This window comes from Homo sapiens, chromosome X (genome assembly GCF_000001405.40).
Source record: "Homo sapiens chromosome X, GRCh38.p14 Primary Assembly".
NCBI classification, from domain to species: domain Eukaryota; kingdom Metazoa; phylum Chordata; class Mammalia; order Primates; family Hominidae; genus Homo; species Homo sapiens.
Window position 1 is genome coordinate 152,164,026 of NC_000023.11, and position 18,519 is coordinate 152,182,544.

An 18,519-nucleotide genomic window follows, 5' to 3' on the forward strand; every position below is an offset into this window, starting at 1 on the left:
GGGAAGAACTGTGAGGGTGGAGGAATCAAGAGTACTGTTTTGAACTTGTCAAAAAATTTGATGTGAAAGAACTAAGCTAGAGGTATTCATTTGGCAGTCATCAGCATAAAGGAGATGTGGTGGAGTTTTAAATTATTATCTATCTATCTATTTATTTATTTATTTTTATAGATGGAGTCATGATCTGTCCCAGGCTGAAGTACAGTGGCACGATCATAGCTCACTGCAGCCTCAAAGGCCTGGGCTCAACGGATCCTTCCTCCTCAGCCTCTTGAATAGCAGATTTTATACACATCTGCAAAGTCTTTGGCCCTATCCACCCTTCCTCTTGACTCTGCACTGGCCTTAGGCACACTGCATGACTTTCCAGGCTGGGCCAATAAAAGCCATGCAGCTTCCATTTGGTTCTCTTTGGTTGCTTGTTCATCCCTCTGGAGATGTTTCTTATGAGAACCCAGAAGCCATGCTATAAGAAGCCACAAGGAGAGGCCATGTATAGAAACTCCAGTCAACAGTTCCAGATGAACCTGTCCTTCAACACTCAGAGCCAAGCTGCCAGACATGTGAGTGAAAGCCCCTATCCCCCAATGTGGAACTCAGAACCTCCTTTATCTTCTCAGTTGAAGACTCAAATTTTGTCCTACTGAATAAGACTGGAGCTAGGCAACTAATACTCCTACATCTTACTACAGAATCCATCCCTTTTCACACGGAGCTGGGAAGCATATCCTCCATCCCCAGATGTTCTAGTCAATTAAGTCACCTTCTACTTGTTTGAGTCTTCCCGTCTATGACCCTAGGCATCATGGATCAGAGACAGGCCATCCCTGCGGTGCACTGTCCTATCGGTACAATAAATGTGGTTGTTTTATTTTGGGATAATTTGTTACCCAACAAAAGTTAATGGTAGTATGTGCTAATTGAAGCCATTAGGACAGATGAGAGCACTCAGTGAGAGTGTGGAGAGTGAAAAGAGAACAGGGAAGACACTGGAGGGAACCCCAGCCTTTAAGGGATGAGAGAAGTTGAAAAGGAAAAACATGAGAAACGGAAAGGTAGCAGAGAAAAAAAGCAGGGATATCAGGAGACTATGGTGCTATGGAAACCAGAAAGAGGCATTTTCAAGAATAAAATAGTTTTCAACAGTGTCAAATGCTGACAGGTCAAATAAGATAACTGAAAACTGCCCTTAGGTTTTAGTAACAAGGGCAGTGGTGACTCAGCAAGAAGAGCTTCACTGAGAGCAGATAACAAAATTAGAATTCTTTGAGAAGAGAGGAGCAGAGATGAAGAACAAAAGGAGAGGCTGGGCCTTAGACAGAAGGGAAACCACTTTTTCCAGTGACAGCAGAGAAGGGAGAGGTTGTGAATGTAGATCCCAAGGGCTCAGTCTGTTTGTCATGTGTAGGGACTTCCCTTCTAAGAATTGCTGTTCTTCCCTGAGCTGAAACTTTGGAGAAAAAAAAGGGGGGGAATGTCTGTTTTGTTTCTGCTCTTTGCTCTCAGTTTGCCTGTGGGCCCCCTTCCCGGCACCAGCACCCCCTTAATCTCCTCAATTTAGGATCCAACTTTTCCCATGCTAGAACTGGAGTTGGGGCACTAATGATCCTGTGTCACATCAAGGGAGACCCTGCCACATGGAGCTGAGGGCAAAGATCTGAGTGTGGGATAGGGGTGGGGAGGCTGGGGAGATCACTGTTAGACCTGAGAGTTTAAACCTTGTATTTTCAGGTTTAGTCTCCTAGTTGTCCTTACTTGGTGTACGATCAAATTCCTTTGAAGTTGCCAACTCTTCCAAGTTGTGTAACAGGGAACCAAAAGATGGGGTCGTGTTCCTGGAATGGGAACTGTTGCCAAAGGGAAAATAGTAAGCCATGGAGAAGAGAAATCCTTTAGAATTACAATGAAAATACATTGCTCTATTTCCTGGGAGTGGGTGAATTTAGCAGAAGAAGCAATACAGCTTTTTCATAATATTTCATATTGGGCAATGAGACCCTCGAGTCAATCAAAGCTATGTTTTCACACGAGTTTTACTTTGGATCATTGTAATACATTTCTTGCTCTGGGGGTACCTTTCTTCCATCTTTTTCCAATGGTTGTTAAGAAGCAGAAAGTAATGGTGGCATGAGATTGGGGGTGAAAGCCAAAAACATAGTACTGTCTGTGTTAGGCAAAGAGTGACCAAAGAAAGTTCTGCAGACCAAGTACAATTCAGAAAGGGTTTAATAAACAGCAGCTAAACATTGCACCAAAGCATTTGGAAACACAATTTCTACAGAGAGGCAAAGATCAGGCTTCCATTCTAAGTTCCTTAAGACAACCATTAACAGCCCCGCCCTCCCACCCCCCATATCCCCACATATCCACAAGACTACACTCTTCTAGTCATGAATTTACCTACAGACACAGTCTTAGGAATAATGGGACGGGCATGCATTATCCCAGCAATGGCAAGGAAGCAGGGGACGGGGAAAGGATGGATGAAAAGGCAACCAGCAGCTAATGATACACCCCTTAGGAGCTTTGTTCAGCCGGTGGGCAGGGAGAATCTGCTTGTGGTGCCCTCTGTGGCTTTACCCTGGGCTTCTAGGATACTCTGGACTAGTGCAGGTATTCAGAGCCAAAGTGGCTGGGGCTGCCATCATAAACAGTCTCATTCTCTTGGGCTGAGACTATTAAAAGTGATCTTCTTGGGTGACACATTGTGACTTTCTAAAAACCTTTTTGGTGCCCAACCAAGTTCCACTAGTGACCCAGAAGGCCCGCTGAGATTGTGCTGATTCTGAGGTCACGGTGGACCTGGCTTCTCAGTCCTTTATTTTGGCCTTTGGAAAGGGGCGCACGATAGCTCTTTATTAAAGACACTTGTAAGGAGCCTAGGCAAATCATTCAAACTTCTGGGATTCAGTTTATCTACCTTATAAAAATTGCGTATTTATGCCTGTGTCTTTTACTCACATTAAGATTAAGAACAAATGGCCTCTAAATAATATATTATAAAATTGGCAATAAAGTTAATGATCTAGTTGACTCAATATTGACTAGAGATATTTATTTGTATGAATTTCCAATTCACCCCTCATAGAATCGGCATCAACAGAGGACCGGAGGTTCCCGATATGGTGGGAGAAAAGTGCCTGGGCCAGGGTGTGGAATGTGGAGTGTATGGAAGGAAGAATTTGACTTTCATCTGCCAGTAGCCTTCTCTTTTGAGCCAGACTTCAATCCTCAACTACCATCCACTCCAAACCTCTTACCCAATCCAGTATAGGCTAGTTGCCTTGGCAGGGAGGTGACTTTTGTATCTCTCCCATATTTTAAAAAAATGTTTTTTTTAAATCTAGATCACTTTGTTTCTATTTGCAACTTTTCGATATAAATAAAAAATGCTTGATCATTTTTTCCTGAAAAGTTTACAGGTGGTAATGAGTCCAAATTAAGTAGTGCTCAGTTGGCTACAAGGGTGCCAAAGGCAGTGGGGGAAGAAGATTTTCTGGAGGAGAGATGTACCAAGGAGGGGACTATTTTCCCGAGGGGCTGGACATGGCAGGGCACCAGCCATCTTGGTGCCAGGCTGGCAGAGCTAGTTCTATTTATTTTGGCCATACATGGTAGACGGTGGTTAGTACCAATTGTCCCCACTAATTTCCAAACCAATAAATGGGTTGGGGGTGTAGAACTGGCTCCCACCTTTGCTATCAGTACTTATGCCTAGTAGGCCTTGCTGAAGGCAGGGGAGGTGGCACGCAGGATCACATGGCCTAGCCTAACCTGGCTGCCTAGTAAGTTAGAGTCATCTGATCTAGATGGGAGTCAACAATTCTCCTTGTTCTGGGCCTCTCAAACAGCCAAGGCTTCCACTATGGAGAGTAGAATCTCTTGTTCTTTTTGCAGCGGGCAGAGTGCAATAAAATACATGCAGTGCCCTCAGCTAGGGGAGATTGGCAGACTAAGATGAGCAACTGGACAAATGGCAGTGTTTGGCTTTGATGGGGTTATACTGGGCAATATTGGAGGGACAAGTAATTTTTCTGTAGTTATTTTTTGCGTAGAGATTCATAAATATGAATTGAGGGTCACAGCTTGGTAGAGGGGTAAAAAGGAGAATCCTGAAATACGCGAAGGGGAGCCCCGGGGTTTGGGTGCCTGGATGCTTCACGGGGTATACAGTGCTCTGGTTGCTGCACTGCCACCACTATCTACTGTTTGCGGATCATGCCCTTGATAGCTGACTCCCGGTTGACATATGTGGCCCAATAGACCAGATTGAATATGGCAAAGAGCACAGGAAAGATGATGCGGGAAATTTTGTCAACCTTGCTGACACTGTTGTAGGTCTTGGTCTCAGTCGGGCTGTCCTGCACGTAGGTGGCCTTGGGTGAAGCAATGATTGTTGGGGTTGAGGAGGCACTGGGAGCAGCGCCCTTGGAGATGGTGGAAAATTCAGTGTCCTTGGCCAGGTTGATGGGATAGGTGGTCCCCACGATGTTGAAGGTAGTGCTGGTTTTCTTTGCTGGGGCTGCTGGTGTTTTCTTCTAGAGGCCAGGAAAAAGAGGGGGGGAAAGGGAGAAAAAAGCAAAGCTAATTAATTCATTACACAGAGAACCTTCAGAGGCTGCAGGGAGGAGGAGCCATGAGGGAAGTTAAGGCACAGGGGCCATGTAGCCAATAGCACTAGTAACCAGGTTTGTGTCAAGGAATAACTGAAGATGAGTATGAAAAGAGAAAACGTGCATCATCCTGGCTCACGAGCTATGTCGCTTTGGCTAAGTCACTTTTCCTCTTCATGCCTCAGTTTCTTCATCTGTAAAATGAGGATCAAAATAATTTTCAGGATTGTTGAGAGGATCAGATAAGAGAATGGAGCTAGAAATCGCCAATAAACTGTGGAATGTTGGTCACATGTGGAATCTTATACATCATGTGATTCGATCCTCAGAGCAACCCCTATGAGGTAGGTGGATGAGATTACTCCCATTTGACAGATGAGAAAACTCAGCCTCAGACTAAGTGGCAGAGCCTAACTTGCAATCTGGGTAAGAGATTTTTATCTAGGGCTACACTGTGCTGCTTTCTATAGGCCCCGGACACTTTTTGGTTACCCAAGAAATAACTCCAGAAGGCCGTGACCATCAAGTGGCACATCTCCTGTGAGGAAGAGAGCTTGGTGAGTCTGAAAAGTCATTTTGTCATAAAGACAATACATACCATGGCATGTTGACATGCATCATTACAACAGCTTCCCACCCTTCATGCAGTGTAACTGTTCAGCAAGCTCAGGAGCGGGCCAAGGCTTTCCACAGAGCTATGTAAAAGACTCTCTGACATAGCAAAGGCAGAGATAGATGCGGAGTTGCTATGTCACTGCCCTTTGGGCTTATTTTTAAGAGTGAAAGAAACTCAAACACCCAGTGGGAAGCAAGCACACACACAGGCCAATTTGCTCTCATATATATGAACTTGTGTATACAGAGAGCCTCACTGGGCCTCCCCTGATGCAGAAGAGAGAAGAGGAGACAATGCTTAGGCCTGGATACAAACTGAGAAGCTGAAGAACAGGAGAGGCCAGGGAAGGAGGCCAACCCCAGCCCCAGGCCAAATGCAGTGGCCTAGCTCATAGTCTATAGATGGTTTGTTGCCTCATTCCTCACTCTGGCCTTTTCTTCCATCCCAGTTTGGCTCTAGGGAAAAGTGGGTATAGATGAGCTTCAGAAATGCCCTAATTTCACATACCTCATGAGTGCATTCTTGATGTTACTTTGCTTCCCAGAACCCAGGCTTCACTTCTTTATTCCTTCACTTCCTACTTGTTTTCTTTGTGTGTTTCTCTATTTCCATCCTCTCTTGCTGACCCCTATCTCCTCATCTCTTCATATATCCTTTCTTCTTAACTTCAGAGTCCCCATCATTCTTATTTTTTCTCCTTTAGACGTCACTGCCATTTACTATAGTGATCCTAATAACTTTTGCCCAATATTTACTGAATGCGTACTGGGCCAAGAACTATGCTAGGTACTTAGAGATAAATGGAAAGGGTAAAACATGAGTCCCTGTCTTCCAGGAGCTCACACTCGGGTGTGGGAGAAAGCCTTTTAAGCACACGATTGCCATTGAACGTGATCAGACTTCTCAAAGATCTGGGCCAAGTACTATGGGAAATCAGTCAAAGGAGGGACAAAGTACCTGCAGGCATTGGAAAAGGTGGCTCAGAGAAGGCAATGAAGTTTATGCTCTGGGTCACAAAAGATGAGCATGCGGCAAAGGCCAGTACACAGGCCAAGGACACTTTATTTATTTATTTTAGAGACATGGGTCTTGCTCTGTCACCTGGGCTGGTGGGCCTTGTGTAAACATAGCCCACTACAGTCTTGAACTCCTGGGCTCAAGTGATTCTCCCGCCTCAGGCTCCTGAGTAGCTGGGACTACAGGCATGTGCCACCATGCCCAGCTATTTTTTTGTTTTTTAATTTAGAGATGATGTCTCACTATGTTGCCCAGGCTGGTCTTGTACTCCTGGCTTCAGGTGATCCTCCCACCTTGGCTTCCAAAATCACTGGGATTACAGGTGCAAGCCACTACACCTGGCCAAGGGCACTGTTTTTTGAGTTGACAAGAAGTTTACTGTAGCTGGGCCACAGCGTGCATGGCAAAGAGTTGCAGAAACTGAGGCTGTGTAAAACAGGCAGCAGCAAGACCTTGAAAGGCCTTATATGCTATGCTCTCTTGCTTTGTCTGCTTATTTTGGCCTCAGTGTTTTCAGTCATGGACGGGAAGTGCGACAGATGAGAGGATGTTGGTTTACGTAAATTGAACAGTCTGACTAATAGGATATTTTGAAAGCAATATTCTTTCTCCCTGGGGATTGCAATCACATTGTTACAAGTGGAAGGGGGACAGAACTCTAAGGTTTCTAAAAACCTTGTAAATTATTTAAATACTACATGGGACTCACTTATAATTAGCAAATTCATTGTGTGAATAGAGCCCTGCTGCTAAATGTCTTTGCTATTAAATAAAAGGGTGCTTTGCTTGTTTGCAAACTTGCTTATTAATTTGCTTAGTAAACTCTTTTTTCATGGGTAGACCAAAAATTATAGGAAAGAAAGAAAAGAAAAAAGAAAGGAAAGAAAATATTGCCCTGACTTTTCTAGAAGCTTTTATATATGTTACTTCACTTAGCCATCTTATAAACTGGCTATGACTAAGTCTCTGAAACAGTGATTCTGAACAATGAATACTTTTTTTTAGCTCCATAGGCACTTTATGTTCTATAGATGGGGAGAAGCAGCAATCACGTTAATCACAGATTTTTTAAGTAGTAAGGGAAAATTACCTTTTAATTTCTTCCACCATTTTCAACATGACACATTTTAATCAGCCACTACAATTTTTTACCTAAATCATTAAAGAAGGAAATCAAAGCAAAATTTGAGTGTCAAGAAAATAGGAAAATGAGCCATAGATTAATGGTAATATTTACCCATTTCTACACCTAGTTTTCCAGTAATTCTCCTTGATAGATACAGACTGAGATGACTTAACTTTGACCGAATTGTCATAATATTCCTACCCCCTAGCCAAGTATCTGGCTCTTAGGCAAATGATGGATGTTTACTGAATGAAAAAATACCCACCATTGAAGATTATCAATGTGATTTATTGTTTGTTTCCCCTGAGTCTTGACCTTTGCTGCATAAATAGCATGTCTCCAAAGTTCAGCCTAGGGCAATTTCCTAACCAAAAAGTGGAAATTGACTTCTCCAAATTTCCCAAGGAGTTTGAATCCAGAACAGGAACGCCTTTCCTTCTAAAAATCTATTTCATGTGGGTTTTGTGATGAGGCAATGAAAACTTTTATAGAGAAATGCATGTCCCACTCAAGAGTCTTCCTCCGATGATACTCCTGTCAATTGTCTCTAAAGGTGAAGCTCAACTAGAACCTCAGAGTATATACTTACATGGTCCAGTGCCTCTGTGTCAACCCCCTTGCAGGTGCTCAGCTTTTCTGAGCCCATTTCCAGAAGTGGGGCAAAACAATGGAATATATGCTATGTGGGACTCAAAGATGAATAAAACCAACAACAAAAACCCAAACAACTCAATTTAAAAATGGGCAAAGGACTTGAGTAGACATATCTCCAAAAAAGATTTACAAATGGCCAACAATCACATGAAAAGATGGTAAGCATCACTAATCAGAAATGCAAATCAAAGCCATGAGACCCCACCTCACATTATGATGGGTACTACCAAAAAACCCCAGAAAATATCAAGTATTGGCAAGGATGTGGAGAAATTGAAACCCTTGTGCACTATTGGGAATGTAAAATGGTGCAACCACTATGGAAAATGTTGTGAGGGTTCCTCAAAAACTTACAAATAGAATCACTATATGATTCAGCAGTTCCACTTCTGAGTATATATCCCCAAATTATAAGCAGGGTCTCAAAGAGATATTTGCATACCCATGTTCACACCTTCATTATTCCCAATAGCCAAATGGTGGAAGCAACCCAAGTGTCCATCGAGAGAACAATAAACAAAATGTGGTATATACACACAATGAATTCATTCCATTCACAATTCTTCAACCTCACAAAGGAAGGAAATTCTGATATATACTACAACAGACATGAATCTTGAGGATGCTAAATGAAATAAGCCAGTCACAAAAGGATAACTGTTATGTGATTTTACTTCTATGACATATCTAGAGTAGCAAATTCATAGAGACAGAAAGTAGAATGGTGGGTGCTGGGGCTAGGGCAGAAAGGAATGGGGAGTTGTTGTTTAATGAATACAGAGGTCCAGTTTTGCAAGATGAAAAGGGTTCAGGAGACTGCACAGCAATGTGAATGTATTTAACAGGACTGAATTACACAATTCAAATTGATTAAGGTTATATATATTTACGAGTATGTGTACACACACACACACACACACACACACACACATATATACACATATATGATTAAATCAGAGACCCTGCCCTCAGGAAATCTAGTTTAGTGAGGAAGGTTAATTAAAATAAGAGAGAATTAAAATATACAGGAGAAAGCACAAATTAGAAACATTCAGAGGGGCATGAATAATGAAATCAAGGGAGTTCAAGAGAAGGAAGAATTTGGAACTGTCAGGTAAGTCAATGGAAAGGAGAGAAAATGCAGATGGAAGAAAAATAATCACTTGCACCACTTTCCTGTAAAGGCGGTGGGGGGGTGGGGGTTATCTAGAGCATAAGTGTGGAATTTCTCAGGTCCAGATCACAGCTGAGAAGGAAAGAATGGATGAGATTAGATACTATATTTTGGTGGAGAGAAAGGAGCACAGTAGGTTAAGGGAAATCTCATACAATGGCTTCTACATTCCCCATGAGGAAGGTTAAATAAATAGCAAAGATTTAAACTAGAATATATATGTATATATATATTTTTTGAGATGGAACTTTGCTCTTGTTGCCCAGGCTGGAGTGCAATGGCATGATCTCGGCTCACTGCAATCTCTGCCTCCCGGGTTCAAGCAATTCTCTTGCCTCAGCCTCCTGAGTAGCTGGGATTACAGGCATGTGCCACCGCTGCCCCCCTCCCCAGGATAGTTTTGTATTTTTAGTAGAGAAGGGAGTTTCTCCATTTGGTCAGGCTGGTCTCGAACTCCTGACCTCAGGTGTTTTTTCTGAATCTGTACTCAATTCTCAGCCTCCCAAAGTGCTGGGATTACAGGCATGAGCCACCGCGCCTGGCTAATTTATTTATTTATTTATTTATTTATATTATTATTATACTTTAAGTTTTAGGGTACATGTGCACAACGTGCAGGTTTGTTACATATGTATACATGTGCCATGTTGGTGTGCTGCACCCATTAACTCGTCATTTAGCATTAGGTATATCTCCTAATGTTATCCCTCCCCTCTCCCCTCACCCCACAACAGGCCCTGGTGTGTGATGTTCCCCTTCCTGTGCCCATGTGTTCTCATTGTTCAATTCCCACCTATGAGTGAGAACATGCGGTGTTTGGTTTTTTGTCCTTGCCATAGTTTGCTGAGAATGATGGTTTCCAGCTTCATCCATGTCCCTGCAAAGGACATGAACTCATCCTTTTTTATGGCTGCATAGTATTCCATGGTGTATATGTGCCACATTTTCTTAATCCAGTCTATCATTGTTGGACATTTGGGTTGGTTCCAAGTCTTTGCTATTGTGAATAGTGCCGCAATAAACATACGTGTGCATGTGTCTTTATAGCAGCATGATTTATAGTCCTTTGCGTATATACCCAGTAATGGGATGGCTGGGTCAAATGGTATTTCTAGTTCTAGATCCCTGAGGAATCGCCACACTGACTTCCGCAATGGTTGAACTAGTTTATAGTCCCACCAACAGTGTAAAAGTGTTCCTATTTCTCCACATCCTCTCCAGCACCTGTTGTTTCCTGACTTTTTAACGATCGCCATTCTAACTGGTGTGAGATGGTATCTCATTGTGGTTTTGGTTTGCATTTCTCTGATGGCCAGTGATGATGAGCATTTTTTCATGTGTCTTTTGGCTGCATAAATGTCTTCTTTTGAGAAGTGTCTGTTTATATCCTTCACCCACTTTTTGATGGAGTTGTTTGTTTTTTTCTTGTAAATTTGTTTGAGTTCATTGTAGATCCTGGATATTAGCCCTTTGTCAGATGAGTAGGTTGCAAAAATTTTCTCCCATTCTGTAGATTGCCTGTTCACTCTGATGGTGGTTTCTTTTGCTGTGCAGAAGCTCTTTAGTTTAATTAGATCCCATTTTTCAATTTTGGCTTTTGTTGCCATTGCTTTTGGTGTTTTAGACATGAAGTCCTTGCCCATGCCTATGTCCTGAATGGTATTGCCTAGGTTTTCTTCTGGGGTTTTTATGGTTTTAGGTCTAACATTTAAGTCTTTAATCCATCTTGAATTAATTTTTGTCTAAGGTGTAAGGAAGGGATCCAGTTTCAGCTTTCTCCATATGGCTAGCCAGTTTTCCCAGCACCATTTATTAAATAGGGAATCCTTTCCCCATTGCTTGTTTTTGTCAGGTTTGTCAAAGATCAGATAGCTGTAGACATGCCTGGCTAATTTAAACTAGATTTTGTAGAATAAAGAAGACAGAACTAATTAGGGACAGAGAGTAACTGCAGGCATAGGTTGAAGGAACAGCAGAATTCAAAAATACACTCATAAATGTCACCAATCCATCAATAGCAATGGATTTTTTTTTTTTTTCGGAGAGAAATAGAGGACTTGGACTGAAGTGACTAGGGAGGTCAAGAGTGCTGGTGAGTGACTGCAGTGATACAGTGTGGGACCTATGCTGGATAGAGAAGCAAGGAAAACATAGGAAATCATCCATTTATTTAATATTTTCTGCGTCTACAATGTGACAGGTTCTGTGCTAGGTGCTTGGGGTGCAGGAATAAATGGTAAAACACAGCTCCTGCCCTAAAGGAGTTCACATCCCAGTTGGGGGGACATGTAATAAACATAGAAGCAAAAAAATGCATAAAGCAATGTAATGTCAGGAGGTGAGAATTATCATGGAAGCACATAAAGCAGGGCAGTGCAGAAAAAGATGATGAATGCTAGTGATAGAAGGTCTGCCTGAGAAGGTAAGTAGAGACCTGAACAAAATAAGAAAGCAAGCTGTGAAAAGATCTCAACAATAAACATTCCATAGAGAAAGAATGGTAATGACAAAGTACCTGGGCTTGGAATGAAAGTGATTCATTAAGAATCATCAAGGAGGCTGGGCACGGTGCCTCACGCCTGTAATCCCAGCACTTTGGGAGGCCAAGGCGGGCAGATCATGAGGTCAGGAGATCGAGATCATCCTGGCTAACACGGTGAAACCCAGTCTCTACTAAAAATACAAAAAATTAGCCAAGCATGGTGGTACACGCCTGTAGTCCCAGCTGCTCAGGAAGCTGAGGCAGAAGAATCGCTTGAACCCAGGAAATGGAGGTTGCAGTGAGCCGAGATTGCACCACTCTACTCCAGCCTGGGTGACAGAGTGAGTTTCCATCTCAAAAATAAATAAATAAATAAATAAATAAATAAATAAATAAATAAATAGAATCATCAAGGAGGCCACTATGGGATGAGTGAGTGGAGTGAATGAAAATTCAAAAAAGATGGTAAGAGGTACCATCACAGATCTAAGGACAAGATCCTGTAAGGTTTTGAGCACCATCGTAAGAATAATGGAATTTGATCTAAATGTAGTGGGAAGCCATTAAACTATTTGGAGCAGAATTTTTATAATTTACTATTTTAATTGATCTTCCCTACTGTTGGGCAGAGAATAGATGTGTAGGCACTGAAAGTAAAGGACTAAAATTAGGATGTTAGTCCTAATGAGGCTAGTGAAGAGGTGTGGTGTGTTGAATGTTAGATATGGAGAAAAGTAGACAGATTCAAGTTATATTGTGCACGTAGAGGAGTTAGGACTTGCTGATGAGTTAGGTTTGGGTTGTCTGAGAGCAGAGTTGGGGGCAGGTAAGAAAAATAAAAGAATTAAGAATGGATTCCAGGTTTTTGGCCTGAGCATCTGGAAGAATAGTGACATTATTGGCTGTGCTGGGAAGACTTGAAGAAGAGCAGGTTTAGGGGGAAGATGAGGAGTTGTGTTTGGATATGAGAATTACATTTTTATCAGACATCCCAATAGGAATATAATCCCAATAGAGATGTACACAGTTACATATATCAGTCTGCAGCTTAGGGGAAAGGTTTGGGATAGAGATACATATTTGGAAGTTGTTCGCCTCTAGATGGCCATTGATTCAATGTCTTGGGATTGAATGAGGTCGCTTGAGAAGTGAGTACAGATTCAGAAAATAAAAAAGAGATCAGACTGCTGACTGGCCTGCAGATCTGACTGAGCTGCCCTGAAATGCTCTAACGTTTAGTGCTGGAAAGAAGACAAGGATAGTGCAAAGAAAATACCAAGGACGAACAAGAAAAACAGGAAATCCTGATGTATGAGAATCCAAGTGAGGAGTTGACACCTTTTTCAAAGAAGACATCTTTAATATCAAAGAGTGAGAGAGTAATGGTCTGAAAGCAGTACTGGGGATTAAGACGATGTAAACTACACTTCTGGAAAATGGGAATCTGATTAACAGCTTCTGCCAAGCAGGAAGGCAGTTGGAAGGAAGTCTCAACTGAGAATCACATATCAGTTAAAACAGGAGGTGGACGGGTCATTCAATGAAGAAGCTGCTGGGGCAGAATGTTTTATCTTCCCATGAACAGGAGTTCCTGAGGGAAGTGAGGGACAGTTTATGAGGAGTAGGAGGATACGTCAAGAAAAAACCACAGAAGAGGATAAGGATAAGAAGTGAGGGGAGGATAAATAACCATAGAGAAAACTACAATTTGGGTATTGACCAAGGATGACACAGAGGCGAGCCCTATGGAACATATGGCCTCATGTGTCCACAAATTTCATTACAAAACTCTTCTGATGTCAAGTAACAGTTCCAAAAACACTAACACAATTAGCTGACTTACTGTCACTGTTTTTCTGAAAAAAAAAAAAAATACAAAAAACAAAAACAAAACACTAGAACAAATATACAGGCAGTTAGATTGGTTCATTTCTGAAACCTTCACGTAGTGCTGGAAACAGTAGCAATGCCTGGTAAATGGGACAATCCAGACCTCATTTAATAGGCTCAATTCCAGTTTATGATGTCAGATGAGTCATCCAATTGAAAAACAAAGAGAGAACTTGGGGCAGTTGCAAATAAAGTGAACTGGTTGTAGAAATCCTACATATGAAATGAACACGGAGAGAATACAATAATGTTGCTAAGTTGAGCAAGATGAAGAAAAATAGAGTGATAAAGCCAGATGAAGTGAACATCAAAGGACAAAACTTTTTGCATGAAGTAAAGGAGTAAACAGTGGCCTGGAAGCAGCAGGAGGGAATGGAGGAGTGGCTTCCACTTGCAAGGGCAGTAGATTTTTTAGGAAACAGTCAAGTACTCAGTAAGGTAAACAACAAAATAGAGAGGAAGTATTTTGGATTTATCTCTCCTGTGACACTCAGCACTTTGTCCTATATCAGTGCTCTGTCTGTATATGTGTGTATATATATATGGATATATGCCTTACTTTTCTTAGACCATCAGGTCCTGAGTACTGGGACCATGTAGTTTAGTTTTGCAAACCACAGGTATTCCAGAAATAATTGCCGTGTGTGCGTCTATGTGTGTGTGTGTGTGCGTGTGTGTGTGTGTGTGTTTCAATCGAGACTATGATTACTGCTAGGCCACTTATACCTACTGCAGAGCAAGGTAGGAAGACCACCAGTTTATGAGTAAAACTTAACCCATATTGAATGTTACTTACCCAACAAAGAAATACCAAGGGGTGATTTGATTTGTGGCTACAATTGCAGGAATGACCCATAGACTTAAAAGCCATTAAGGACAAGAAACTAAGCTTTTCCAAGATTTGAAGAGAATGTGAATGTTTTCTCCAATGTAAAAAAGATAAAATTTTATTCTAGAGCATTTGAAAATAAAAAAAGAAAGTCCAAGCATTACTATTTTTTGCAAAATTTATACAAGAAGTTATACAAATTTTATAAATGGTTCTAAGAATAATTTTCTTCTTTTTAAATGTTGAGATTTGTTTTTTCATTTAAATTTGCTTTTATTATTTTTAATGTTGAATAACTTAAAGTAGTAATGGACATAGTTTAAAAAATTGAAGTTGAAAACTTATGAAAATCAAGAAACCCTTACCCCAATGCACCCAAACCCATTGTCCAGCCCCTTGTAGGTATTTATTTTTAATTCTCTTAGGTGATAGTAATACTTCTAATAGTTATTTCTATACTTTTATACAATATATTTATACTGCTACCAGTTTTGCTTACTACCAATTGTCTTTTCATGATAAATGATTTATTTCACATATGTAACCCTTCCTGAATCCTCTAGTACAATTATAGCAAACTTTTTAGTTCTATCAATAACCAGTGGTGATAGCATTATAAATGACTGTATAAATCCCTGTAGTAGCCATCTGCAAACTGGACTGGTTCCTTTGCAAATTTGCTTGCTGCACAGTTGTCACTTTAGTACTTCACTTTTTATAATTTTTATTTCTATTTATTCATTTTTAATTGACAAATGAAATTGCATGTATTTATCATGTACAAAATGATGTTTTGAAATAGGTGTACATTATGGAATGGCTATATTGGGCTAATTAACATATGCATTGCCTCACAGTTATCATTTTCTGTGGTAAGAACATTTAAAATCTACTCTTAGCAGTTTTCAAGAATACAGAACATTGCTATTAACTACAGTCACTTGTTGTACGATAGGGTCTCTTGAACTTATTCTTCTCTAAGTAAAATTTTGTATTCTTTGACCAACAACTACCCCCAACTCCCAGTCCCCAGTAACCACCATTCTACCCTCTGCTTCTGTGAGTTCAATTTTTTTTTTTTTTTTTGAGATGGAGTCTCGCTCTGTCGCTCAGGCTGGAGTGCAGTGGCGCGATCTCGGCTCACTGCAAGCTCTGCCTCCCGGGTTCACGCCATTCTCCTGCCTCAGCCTCCCAAGTAGCTGGGACTACAGGCGCCCGCCACCACACCTGGCTAATTTTTTGTATTTTTAGTAGAGATGGGGCTTCACCATGTTAGCCAGGATGGTCTCGATCTCCTGACCTCGTGATCTGCCCGCTTCAGTCTCCCAAAGTGCTGGGATTAGAGTTCAACTTTTTTAGATCACACATGTAAGTGACATCATGTGGTATTTTTCTTTTCTGTGCCTAGCTTATTTCATTTATAGTAATGTTCTTCAGGTTCATCCGTGCTTATGTAAATGACAGGGTTTCCTTCTTTTTTAAAGGCTGAATAGTATTCCATTGCCTATACCACATTTTCTTTATCTATTCATCAGTTTATAGACACTTAGGTTGATTACACATATTGGCTTTTGTGAATAATGCTGTAATTATTATACAAGTACACATACTTCTTTGACATACTGATTTCAAGTTCTTTGGATATATACCCAGTAGTGGGGTCGATCAACCATTTGGTATTTCTATTTTTAATTTTTTCAGGAACCTCCATACTAGCTTTGCAAATTTACATTCCCACCAATAGTGTGGAAGGATTCCCTTTTCTCCAAATCCTCACCAACAGTTATCTTCGGTCTTTTTGATAACAGACATTTTTAAAAGTGTGAGGTGATATCTCATTGTGGTTTTAATTTACATTTTTCTGATGATTAGTAATCTTGAGCATTTTAAAAATATAACTATTATCTAGCTGTATGTCTTCTTTTGAGAAATGCCTATTCAAGTCCTTTGTGAATTTTTAAATTGGGTTGTTTTCTTGCTATTGAGTTGTTTGGGTTCCTTGTATAGTTTTTATATTAGCCTCTTATTAGATGGTTGGTTTGCAAATATGTTCTTTTATTCTATAGGTTGTCTCTTTGCTCTGTTGATTGTTTCCTTGGCTATCAAAAAGCTTTTTAGTTTGGTGTAATCCCATTTGTCTATTTGTACTCTTGTTGCCTATGCTTTTGGGATCATATTCAAATTACCTTTGTTTCACAGAGATTTTTTTCCCCAATGTTTCATTTTAGTAGTTTTAGAATTTCAGGCATTACATTTAAACCTTTAATCCATTTTGAGTTGACCTTTGCATATGGTGTGAGATAAGGGTCTAACTTCATTTCTCTGTGTGTGGCTATCCAGTTTTCCCAACATCATTTGTTAAATAGGCTGTCCTTTCTTCATTGTGTGTTCTAGATACCTTTGTGGAAAATCAATTAACCATAAATGCATGAATTTATTTTTGTGCTCTCTATTGTGTTAAATTGCTCTGTGTGTCTGTTTTATGCCAGTACCAAGCTGTTTTGGTTAATATAGTTCTAGAGCATATTTTGAAGTCAGGTAATACGATGCCTTCAGCTTTCTTCTTTTTGCTCAAGATTGCTTTGACATTCAGAGTATTTTGTGGTTCCATGTAAGTCTTAGGACTGTATCTTTTCTATTTCTATTAAAAATGACATTGGAATTTGATAGAGTTGCATTTAATCTGTACATCAGTTTGGGTGGCATGAACATTTTAACAATATTAATTCTTCTAGCCATGAACAGTGGGTATCTTTCCATTTATTTGTGTCTTCAATTTCTTTATTTGGTATTTTATAGGTTTAGTGTACTAGTCTGTTATCCTCTTGGTTAAATTTATTCCTAAGTATTTTATTATTTTTTGTACTTATTGTGAATGGGATTGCTTTCTTGATTTCTTTTCCAGATAGTTCATTGTTGATAAAGAAATGCAACTGATTTTTGCATGTTGACTTTGTCTCCTGCAACTTTACTAAATTTATTTGCTAGTTCTAACAGCTTTTTTCTTTTCTTTTCTTTTCTTTTTTGTAGGGTCTTTAGGGTTTTCTATATATAAGATCAGGCCATAAAAAATGATGAGTTCATGTCCTTTGTAGGGACATGGATGAAATTGGAAATCATCATTCTCAGTAAACTATCACAAGAACAAAAAACCAAACGCTGCATATTCTCACTCATAGGTGGGAATTGAACAATGACAACACATGGACACAGGAAGGGGAACATCACACTCTGGGGCCTGTTGTGGGGTGGGAGGCTGGGGGAGGGATAGCATTAGGAGATATACCTAATGCTAAATGACGAGTTAATGGGTGCAGCACACCAGCATGGCACATGTATACATATGTAACTAACCTGCACATTGTGCACATGTACCCTAAAATTTAAAGTATAATAATAAAAAAAAAGAAAAAAGATCAGGCCATCCATATGCAGGGAAAATTTAACTTCTTCCTTTCCAATTTGGATGCCCTTTATTTCTTTCTCTTGTTGAATTGCTCTGGATAGGTCTTCCAATACTGTAGTGAGAGTGGACATACCTGTCTTGCTGCTAACCTTGGAGAAAAAGCTTTTAACTTTTTACCACTGAGTATGATGTTAGCTGTGGGTTTGTCATATATGGCCTTTATTGTGATTGTAATTAGTTGAGAGGTTTTTTATCATGAAAGAATGTTGAATTTTGTCAAATGCTTTTTCTGCATCTACTGAGATGACAACTTGGTTTTGGACTTCATTCTGTTAATGTGGTGTAGCATATTTATATATTTACACATGTTGAACCATCCTTTCATCCCTGGGATAAATCCCACTTGGTCAAGATGAGTATTTTTTTTAAGTTTATGATTTAACCCTTACAGCCATTGCCTGACGTGTTATATATATATATACACACACACACACACACACACACAGTGTATGTATATATATACACACTATGTATATATACACTATATATAGTGTATATATACACTAGTATATATAGACACACTATATATGCACTATATATAGTATGTATACACACTATATATAGTGTATATATGTACACTATATATAGTATACATACTATATATAGTATATATACTCTATATAGTATACACACTATATATGCATATATAGTG

At 40.1% G+C, this 18,519-nt stretch overlaps 1 protein-coding gene across 2 annotated transcripts in view, besides 1 other annotated feature; it reads right to left on the reverse strand.

Annotated features, from left to right (window-relative positions):
* Positions 2,209 to 18,519, reverse strand: part of GABRA3 (gamma-aminobutyric acid type A receptor subunit alpha3) — a 285,082-nt gene continuing 268,771 nt past the window's right edge. For both annotated transcript variants that reach the window (XM_006724811.4, NM_000808.4), the window contains one exon: positions 2,209 to 4,538. In XM_006724811.4, the coding sequence (XP_006724874.1) occupies positions 4,447 to 4,538 (92 nt within the window). In that variant the 3' untranslated portion in view covers positions 2,209 to 4,446. The remainder of the gene's footprint in view (positions 4,539 to 18,519) is intronic.
* Positions 13,072 to 13,366: an enhancer, noted in NCBI's record as "tiled region #4725; K562 Activating DNase matched - State 5:Enh". NCBI's record gives its function as "activates a minimal TATA promoter and a strong SV40 promoter by Sharpr-MPRA in K562 cells {active_cell/tissue: K562}" and the evidence as "EXISTENCE:reporter gene assay evidence [ECO:0000049][PMID:27701403]".